The sequence below is a fragment of the Homo sapiens genome, chromosome 10, assembly GCF_000001405.40.
Source record: "Homo sapiens chromosome 10, GRCh38.p14 Primary Assembly".
NCBI classification, from domain to species: domain Eukaryota; kingdom Metazoa; phylum Chordata; class Mammalia; order Primates; family Hominidae; genus Homo; species Homo sapiens.
In genome coordinates, this window is record NC_000010.11 from 124,385,074 (window position 1) to 124,395,946 (window position 10,873).

The 10,873-nt window shown below is 52.3% G+C and overlaps 1 annotated feature.

Annotated features, from left to right (window-relative positions):
* Positions 4,144-4,433: a silencer, noted in NCBI's record as "silent region_2908". NCBI's record gives its function as "represses an Ori minimal core promoter by ATAC-STARR-seq in GM12878 lymphoblastoid cells {active_cell/tissue: GM12878}" and the evidence as "EXISTENCE:reporter gene assay evidence [ECO:0000049][PMID:35858748]".

Genomic DNA, 10,873 nt, shown 5'->3' on the forward strand with positions numbered 1-10,873 from the left:
CTTCCCGTGAACCCACCAGATGCCCACCAAGATGCATTCAGACCATTCTTAAGCAAACCAACTGCTGTCATTACAGGGATAGGAACTTCTCCAGAAGGGTCTGGAAATGACTCTCAGCTGCCATCACTGCTACATGGGACAAGAGAGTATCACGTGCATGCCTGGGCATCCTGCAGAGGGGGTCCCTCCCTGGGCCTGTCTTCATGCTATCCATCAGCACTTTTAAAGGATCCTTCTTCACTTTCCCCAGAACCATGTGCAGTGAGACCACAGGACATGGTGGCAAGAGGTTATCTGGACCAGAGATCTACACAGTCCAACCACCGGAGAGCTTTTCACAACCTCACATGCACAATCCCCACCCATACCCAGAGGCAGAATCATGGGAAAAAGCCCAGCCCTAGCGTGGTGTGACTTGCACAAGTCAGTTAACCTCTTGGAGCCTCAGTTTTCTCACCTGTGGAATGGAGCTAATAATAGACCTTCCAGGTATGAGATGAAATGAGAGACTCTGGTGCTTCACAGCCTTTCTCCTGACAGCGTACCTGGAGAATGTGAATGGATTTACACAGTGCACCGAGTACGTGAGCGAGCCTGCCTCCGGTCACCCCAGGGCTGAAGGGACCCCCATCTCAGGTGCAGGAGGCTGAGGGGCAGTGGTGGGAAGGCCTGATGGCTGCAAAGCACTAGGCAGAGGGCTGGTATATCGGAGGCCCCTCATGCAATGATGGGTTTTGTGGCTCAGCCAGGAGGCCTGGGCTGGGGCTGACGCATCGCCATTGTTTAAGGAGCTCCCCGCCTGACTCTGGAGCAGGTGGTCTGTGGGTCAGGTGTGGACCGAAAGGTTCCAGCAGCTCAGAACCAGCAGGTTCTTCCCCAAATAGGGTCACCAGCTCCCCACTACATGCCACCCCTTCCTGCAGCCCACACACCAGTAGGGTCCTCCCTGCCTAATTAGCAGGCAAATCCCTTTCTGCAAGAACTGAATGGGTCCCTTCTGCTGCGAGGGCTTCCCTCACACTGTCCCTTTGTAGCCGCCCAGCGTCTCAGCCAGGCCAAACTAGGTCCTCAGGTGTTTACTCTCCCTGCAATTTTGACTTTGCCCCTCTGGCTCCCACCTTCAAAGCTTCAAGCAGGGCTGTGGCGGGGGACTCCAATGGGGCTGAGTTTTCTGCTGGAAAAGTGGCTGGCCATGGGCAGGGCCTGGTCTGGCCACCCCAGACAGGGCTGTTTGCAGGGGGCGTGGTGACCCAGACAAACATGCTCTGGAGGTGAGACCACAAACAGCCCGGGCCCAGGGAGGCACTGAGTCCTCGCAAATGGGGTCAGGCGCAGCTGCTGCAGGCCCGACACCGCCCCTCTGCTCACCTGAAGGTAGAGAAGCCTAAAGAAGCTGGGAGGGGCTGCTCTCTCTGGAATGTACCACGGAGGCAGACATTCCTCCAAACAGAAAGGCAAGGCCCCTCCCACCCCAGGAGAGCACACCCGCTCTTCTACAGGGCAGGCTGACAGACCCTCTCCAGAGAGGGCCCTCTCCACCCACCCGGGCAGGAGGGTGGAGTCACAACTCGCTAACCCTAACCCCAGGCAACAGGAACAGGTGAGGGGGATGGGGTAGCAGGGGGCAGACGCTGCCCTCCCCTTACCCCAGGCCTCCAGACATTCTGGACCAGCCCAATCCCCTGGTCACACTTAGCAAACCAGCCAGGCCCACTCGAGGTTGGACAACATGGGGATGAAGTTTCCCTTCACTCCACAACACAGTCCGGGCTGTCCGGGACCAGGTCCAGGTGGATCCAGCCTCAGCACCCCACCTTAAGACTCTGTTAAGAGCTGTCTGAACTCCCTGCACCTGGGTCCTATGAACTCCGGCTTTTCAAGGCTGGCATGGGGATCGTAAGATCTAATGCAAGAACCGGCCCGCCATAAAGGACGGGTGATCATCACCTTCATTCACTCATCAGGCTGAGACTGGGGGAGAGACAGGCACCGGGCAAGTGAGCCCAGGATTAGAAACCAGGCCCCAGTCAAGTGAAGCCAGGATGAGGACATACCCCCTGGGGTGTCCCAGGGTGTCCTCACTTCCCTGAGCCCTCTTAAGTGGAACACCGATTCAGCATCCCCACGCAAACCACTAAAATCCTTCTTTCTCAACAGAGTCTTGTGGGATTGGTGGGCCTGGGGAGGGTACCTTCCTGCTGTCCCATGGCCCTGGCACTTCCTTGCCCTGTGCTGGGGGCTGGGAGGGTGCCTGACCAGACCCTAAGAGGGTTGTTCCCAGCGGGATTCCTGGTACCACCCAAACTCGATGAAGCCACCTGTCAGAGCAGGGCCGGGGCCCCTGTGTGTTTATCAAGCCTCAGGTGATCCCAGAGGGCTCAAGAGTTTGAGGTCGGGGGCAGAGGGAGCTACAGGCAGGACCCAGCAGCCAATATCAACCTCCCCACAGCCCGCTGCTCCCATTTCTACATGAGGACACTGAGACTCCAGAGGTTGTGTGACTGACTGGTCCTAGGTCTCAGAGCTGGTAATTTGCCTCCTGGGATGCAGACACAAGCTTCCACCTGCGGGTGTCACCCCTCCTCAGGCCCCACCTCCCCTCCCATCCACGAAGTCCAAGGTAAGTCCAGGACTGGGCCCTGGGCACCAGCCTTGCCCTTGGCACTGATGGGGTTCAGGACATGGTACCCCAAAATACAGCACCTTGGCATTTGAGGAAACAGCAGAAACAGAAAGGTCGTTTTCACCTCCCACCCTCCCTTCTCCCCTGAAGCAGGACATAAAACCCTCATTCAGGTGTTAGTCTCCCTATACCCAGAAGAAACATCCTCACCTCTGAAGACACAGGGATAGAGGAGACTGTGAACACGCAGGCCTGGCTAAGTCCCTCCATCTATTACCGTTACATCAGACGTTTTTATCCAATCAAACTTTTCTAGGACTATCCACTTTTTTTATCAAACCAAGCATAAAAAACACAGGTTTGGCTGGGTGTGGTGGCTCACGCCTGTAATCCCAGCACTTTGGGAGGCCGAGGTGGGCGGATCACCTGAGGTCAGGAGTTCGAGACCAGCCTGACCAATATGATGAAACCCCATCTCTACTAAAAATACAAAAATTGGCCGGGCCTGGTGGCATGCGCCTGTAATCCCAGCTACCTGGGAGGCTGAGACAGGAGAAACGCTTGAACCCAGGAGGTGGAGGCTGCAGTGAGCCAAGATCCTGCCATTGCACTCCAGCCTGGGCAACAAGAGTGAAACTCTGTCTCAAAAACACACACACACACACACACACACAGGTTTACACATTTCTTTGGGTCTTCATTTCCTTATGAAGGCTCCTGCATCCGGTAAAAATTATATTAAATAAATGTGTATGTTATTCTCTTGTTATATGAGTCCCAGGCAGGAACCTAGGACGGTGAGGAAAAGCTCTTTCTCCTCCTATGGCATCCACACACCCAGGGCCTGCCACTCCTGCCCAGCCCAGGACCGTCACTATCTCAGTGACCAGTGGACAGGGCTCAGCAGGGCCACACGGATCAAGGTGGGCCCCAGCCAGGCAGAGACCAGGCCCCGCATCCTCCCACCCCCTGCACAACTTCGGTCCCCCAATCACCAGGGCAGGTATGAGTAAGGCCATTGCACAGTGGCAAAAACTGAGGCCCGCAAGGGCCCAAGGACCACCACTCAGATCCCTCCGGGCACAGCCCAGCCAGGAGCTCCGGGCAGAGTCCCGGGAGGCCCTGCCCACAGGGTCAGAGCGCCCCTGCCCCCGGCCCAACGGATGCGCCTGTCCAGGATCACCACCTGTCAAGCTCGCTGCAGCGCGGGAGGTGGGGTGGACCCTTCCCTGCCCCGGAGCCCACACCTCTGCACGGTGAACCGAGGCGCTCCGACGGGTGCGCGGACAGCACCTGGCACTGAGGAGGTGAACGTGACTCCCACACACGCGGGACTGAACCAGCGCCCCAGAGTCCCCAGAACACGCATGGGCCCGCGGGGCCGCAGCCCACGCCCGGGACAGCCGCCCGCAGTCTACGCAGGGAGGGGCCGCGGGGCTCTGGTTTCTGCAAGTTCTGAATTGTCTCCAAGGAGCATATTCCAACGTCAGAATAATAAACTTTTACAGAACTGTATTGCTCTGCAGCGCGCGGGGGGACTCGGCCCAGCGAAGAGCGAGCGCCCTACAGGCCTCGGCGGAGGAGGGCACGGTCCCCAGCGCGGCTCCTGGCCCCGCCCACGGCCCCGCCCCAGCTCCCGAGCCCCGGCCTCGCGCACGCGCATCTCGCGGGCTCGCAGGACGGCCGGGAAGCAACGCTTTGCGGGCAGCGCCCCCTGCCGTCCCAACGCGCGTGGGGCCCTATGGCTGCGAGCAGTTCCGGCCAAAAGCCCCAGGACCCGGACTTGGGGTTATTGACTTGCGCGTGGGCGCTGAGTCTTGGAGGGGAGGGGACAACTCGCCACACCCCCGTCCTCTCCCTGGAGCTCGAAGCCCCTTTCTGCTGAAATGGGGCCTCCTTTTCTCGGGAAACTGACTTTGGGGGAAACTAAGTCTCAAGGGGATCTTAAAACCCAAGACGGGGGAATGGGAACCTCACAGGACGTGGGGGCGCTTTTCTGGCCATCTCTATATAAAACCTGCCGGGGGCCTCAGACCCTGGCTCCTCTGTCAGTTCCCAAGACCCGTCGCGCGCCCACCTGAGCCCGGTGCCCACTGGATGGGGGCTCAGGCTCACCTGGTCAGTCCTCACCCCCACCTCCAGAGACCAGGCAGTCATGCCCTTCTAATATGGCGGAGGTCCCAAAAGATTATACCATATTTTTACTGTGCCTTTTCTGTGTTTAGCTATGCAAATACTTAGCATTGTGTCGTAGCAGGCTGTGCCATCTAGGTTGTGTAAGTACACGCCATGATGTTCACATAACGAGAAAATCGCCAAAGGACGCATTTCTCAGAACATACACCTGTTGTGAAACCACCCGTGACTGTTCTGTCCTAATTCAACCCCCTCATTCGATAAAGGACAGAGAGGCATTGAGTTGCCAGAGGTCATCCTGGTTGTCAGAGGCAAAAGCAAAACCGAAGCTCTGAGCCTCGCAGCAACCACCCACGCCACCGCCTCCCGTCATCATCAGGAGGCCTCCCCAGGTTTCTGTCCCAGGGAGCGCAGCCGGTGGACAAGTCCCTTCCGCTCTCTGAGCCTCCAGTAACATGAAAACACTGGCAGGAGACCCTCCATGATTCCAGGATTCCTAGAACACTGGCAGGACACCCTCACCCGGTGATCACTCCCAGGTCACCCCACTGAAAGCCGGCAGCTTTCTGTATGGTCTGCATCCATGTTTTTCTATTTCTCCCAGGAGTAATTACTCCATTTGTTCACAGGTACACGGCTTGGCACTCAGGGGCCATAAATTAAAGAGATGTTGTGATAAAAAGGAAGGCAGGAGAGAGTAGGGGCTGGTGGATCCCACTTGCCCTTCACTGCCGGTCTCAGAGACTGGCCTAGGAGAAAGCCACCAAGATCAAAGGCCCCCAGACCCTGCATCCCCATGGATGTGCAAGCCTGAGCTGTCGGTGGTCCTCCCGAACCCTGCCTTGAGCCATGCTTGGCTATTCCACACAAGGCTTATTTGCAGCAATCATCTGCTGGGCTCTTAAGTATTGTGATGCAAATTATAAAAGCCATTTTAGTTCAGATATCTCATTAACAATTTGAAGGGCTAGGCTGATGTATAGAGAAAAAATCTCATTTGCAAGTTAATCAAAATAAAGGCTGGGGAGCTAATAAACCTCCTCTGAGCCATTATACATGCATGGAACACTGGAGTGAGCCCTGAAATATATTTTAAAGTTTTTTTTCCTAAATGGACTAAGCTGCTTTTAGATATATATTATTCATTTTGATGCCTCCTGCTGGTATTTTAAGAATCCATCCCCCAAGTTCAAAACAAATTGAAATGCTTTTACAGGCCACAGGGGCCTCTTGGCCAAGCTCTTGAGACAAAGGGAGGAGCTGTTCTCAAAGCCCCCAGTCCCTGAGGCACCAGGACCACCTACTGGCTCCCTCAGAAGGTTTGTCCAGCCCATCCAAGGCTCTTGGGCATCACCACTATTTCAATGACCTAAAGCAAGCTTGTGTTTCTGAGCCTTGGTCTCCTCATCTGTAAATGGAAGTAATAATACCTGGAGTGAGACTTAAGGCATTTGAAATAGTGCCTGGCACAGACTGCTGAATAAATGCTATTTATTTGAACCACTGTCTATCCTCCGGGACCAGCCAAGTGGTACTCAATAAACATTTTTGAAATAAATGTACCTATTAAAAAGCCCGCTGATGCCAGGAATCGTGTGCCTTATTCACCAGTAGACGTCAGTGCCCCAGCATGGTTGGGTGAATGACACCCTGCCTCACACTCAATACCCACTTTGCAAGGACTGCACATTAGAATCCCCAGGAGCATTTAATATCCAGGTGCAAGGCCCCATCCAGGAGATGCTGATGTAATTGATTTGAGGTGAGGTCTGGCCATCAATATTATTTTTTTTTTTGAGACAGTGTTTCACTCTTATTGCCCAGCCCAGAGCGCAATGGCACAATCTCGGCTCACTGCAACCTCCGCCTCTTGAGTTCAGGTGATTCTCCTGCCTCAGCCTCCTGAGTAGCTGGGATTACAGGCGTGCACCACCACGCCCAGCTAATTTTTGCATTTTTAGTAGAAACTGGGTTTCACCATGGTGGTCAGGCTGGTCTTGAACTCCTGACCTCAGGTAATCTACCCACCCCGGCCTCCCAAAGTGCTTGGATTACAGCCATGAGCCACCACACCTGGCCGATACTAATTTTTTAAGCAAGCCAGGTGACTCTGAAGTGCAGCTGGCATTGAGCAGCACAGATCTAAACCTATAAATGTCCCCTATATGCCTCCCCCGACCTCTGTGGTGCTTCCCCATCACATACAGATGTGCTGCAGAGAGCATGCTGGGAACTTCACAGTCCTAGTGCTTGAAACGCATTGTCACTTTCACCTCTGTTATTCTGGGTACATCAGATGTCCTATCCCAACCTCAGTTTTCTTATATGTGCAGTAATTAATTTAGATGAGGTATTCTGGAAGGTCAGAATCCAAAGAACAAGTTATCATTAGGGGGTGTGGAGAGTGAAGGTGGTGACTATTTAAAGTGCAAAAATGTACCAAGATTATCATCTTTCTTTTGCACATATCTAAATGTGCATCTGGGCACCACATACTCTGTGAGTTCTCCTCTACTTTGAACCACTCCTCCCCGAAGAAGAAAAATAACTTTTTACCTGAAGAATGTGAGCCCCTTTAAATTATCAGGCCCAGAAAAGTATCTAAAATATAATGGCAGTCAGGTCTCACTCCCCCTTGAGCTAAATAATTACCTCTCGAAGCCCCTTGCCATGCAGCTCTAGACTAACTGAAGCCAAATGGCCACAAAAACGCCATACATCCTGTACTTCAACAATGAATAGCCAATCAGTAACTAATGCCAATTCTCTAGACCAATGAAAATTCCTAATAAATAAGTTTTATAATCACCCCTTCTCCTGATTTTTTTTTCTTTATAAATATTCTCCAGAGCACTCCCCAAGGCAAACTGATGATGTATCCTGGGCTGCAGTTCTCAAGCTTGGCCCAAATGAGAAGATTTTTCTCGGCCCCTTTGCCAGGCACGCAGCAGGAGGCACCCCATCTACTGGGCCTGCCAGGCCGCATCTGGCTTGCACTCCGGCGCAGATCCCACAGCAGCTGCTGCTGCATGCTCAGGCCCTGGTGGGAGGGGGTATGTGAGTGAGCAAGTGTGGGGTCCAGCCAGCCATTCCAAATGCTGGCACAGGGGTGGGCTCCATGCGGGGTTTGCAGCTGGACCAGGTGTGTCACTCCAAGGGGAATGCAGTGGTGCCCAGGCAGGGGTGCCCATGACCCTAAAGCCCCAAAAGAGTGTTACAATGTGCTCATTAGCTCTTTTAGTCCCACCATCCATAGCCCAACAGACGGTGGCATGTTAACAGCTCAGTCAGCCCCTTGCCCCATTCCAGCCCGCAGCTCCGGGGCCAGCTCCGCCCCATCACTACTTTCCATCACATGAGGCATCTGCCCTCTGCCAGTGAAGGGCAGAGGGCCACAGTGTTACAGCCTTGTGAGTACCCATGTTCAGTGAGTCTGGAGTTCTTGTCCGTCAAAGAAGAATGAGGTCACACTGGCAACTGAGGGGTGGTGAGGGCAGAGAAGTTTATTAAGCGACAAAACAGCTCTCAGCAGAGAGGAGACGGGAAGGTGGTCTCCTCCAGTGTGGCTGAGTCTGGGGTTTTTATAGGCACAGGATGGGGGAGGGGCAGGCCATAGGTAGTATCAGAAAAGGCAACATTCAACTGGTCAAAAAGCGTTATTCAGAAAGAACCAATCGGGAAAGAGTGGGCAAATAGGAACAGAAGTTCTCACTCTGGGTCACAGGTTTCATCCAGAACCAACAGTTCAGTCTTTCAGACTTCAGGCTGTTTTTGGCTTGAAGGTGGTGTTTCACTGGGGACCGCCCCTATCAGCCTAGGCATTTTGTCTGCCTCCTGCTATCATGAATAACTTTATGATTATTAATTTTGCCTCAGCTTCTTCCTTTAACTTGACATCCCCTTTGTGATACAGCCAGGCTATCAGCTCTACGCCATCTCTTCCTTATCTAGATGTCACCCTTATCTGAAAGAATCCTTCTCCCGAAGCTTCCTCTCTCCCAAACTCCTCCAACTGTATGTGTTGGGGGTGGGGAGGGGGAGCTAGCAACTTATTTATTGATCTGTAATTCTGTGCCAGGTCCTCCACCAGGAGCTTGACCTACTCCATCTTTTTTAATCCTCCTAACTCCCCTGAAAGGTAGATAGCATCCCACTTCCTCACAGCTAAGGAAAGGGAGTATCTAACCACAGCAGTTGCCCTGATGTTCTACCCCAAATCCAAAGCCTGTGTCTGACTCTCCCTGCCTCCCGCTTCACCACCCCTCCACTTCATCCCCAGGGCACTAAGTGCCGTCAGCAGGTTCCTGCCCACCTGTTCACCACTGGACATAGGCCCTGAGGCCCTACAACCAGTGTGTACTGCATGAGTAAGCCCTAAACCATCAGCCAGAAAGGATTTTCTTTTGTTTGTTCCTTTTTGAGACAGAGTTTCGCTCTGTTGCCCAGGCTGGAGCGCAATGGTGCAATCTCTGATCACTGCAACCTCTGCCTTCTAGGTTCAAGTGATTCTCCTGCCTCAGCCTCCCGAGTAGCTGGGATTACAGGAATGCACCACCACGCCTGGCTAATTTTTTGTATTTTTAGTGGAGATGGGGTTTCTCCACGTTGGTCAGGCTGGTCTCAAACTCCCGACCTCAGGTGATTCGCCCACCTCAGCCTCCCAAAGTGCTGGGATTACAGGCATGAGCCACCGCACCCAGCCTAGGATTTTCTAATAGGATCACGCCACGCCCCTGCTTCAACCCCTTTCTTCAGTGACCCCACTGCTCACCAAATTAAGCCCAAAGGCCCTCATTGTCATTGGCCACCGTCTCCACAACTCCCTGTACTTTCCTACCTCTGGGTCCTCTCTGACTTTTAAAGCCTTCAAAGAATTTAGCAGGAAGATAGCTTTGTTAAAAATCACCTGCCCTAAGGTCATCTCTGGTGAGAATAACTGAATGCAAATTAAACTGACTCATCATAATAATAGTATGTCCTAAGGCAACCTGCAAATGTGGAATCTCCAGTACACACACACAGAGAGAGACTGAATTAGAATCTGCATCTTAAGGCTGGGCACTGTGGTTCACACCTATAATCCCAGCACTTTGGGAGTCCAAGGCAGGTGGACCACTTGAGCTAAGGAGTTCAAGACCACCCTGGGAAACATGGCAAAACCCTGTCTCTACCAAAAATACAAACCAATTAGCCAAATCTGGTGGCACACGGCCATGGTCCTAGCTAGTAGAGAGGTTGAAGTGGGAGAATCGCTTGAGCCTGGGAGGTGGAAGTTGCAGTGAACCGAGATCATACCACTTCACTCCAACCTAGGTGACAGTGAGACTATGTCTCCAAAACAAAAATCTGCATCTTAATAAGATTCCTAAGACAGGTTCTCAACCTTGAATGCCCTGGAGAGCTTACCTGGCCTGGGTGCCACCCCAGTTGTAATTGGTATGAGGAGGCCTCCCAGTAACTGCTCACTCATTTAAACGTAGTCATTCAGTGACAGAGCACTACCCTGACAGAGTACCAAAGACTCAACTCTCATACTGCTAAGAGGTAACTTTTTAGAACCTGGGGGAGGCAGGGAGCAATGTGACACAATTAACTTGAGTTTTTTTTCTTTGAAAAGCAAGTCACTTCTAGGGATTTACTCCATAGAAACACTGTGCACTTTTGCACCATTGTGAAAAGATATGAAGTGGTCACAAGTTTTATTCAAGTCAAATGGTCCCAATATGAGATGAAATTACAGTATACCCATATATGATGAAATACTAATTATTTGAGAATAAGACGGAAAAACATCCAAAATACTCTGTTCAGGTAAAAAAAAAAAAAAAGAAAGAAAGAAAAAAGAAAAAGTTGCAGAACACCACATATAAAAAGGATAACTTTAAAAAAATGATAAATATTAGTATATGCACAGAGAACGCGCTACTTTGAAAGGGAAGTATGAGACCTATCTTTTAGATGTATTCTTTTTATAACTTCTAGTTTTCTGTAGATCAGAGTTGAAATGCTGTTAGAAAACACATGGAATATGCCGGGCACAGTGGCTCATACCTGTAATCCCAGCACTTTAGGAGGCCGAGGTGGGTGGATCACCTGAGGTCAGGAGTTCGAGAC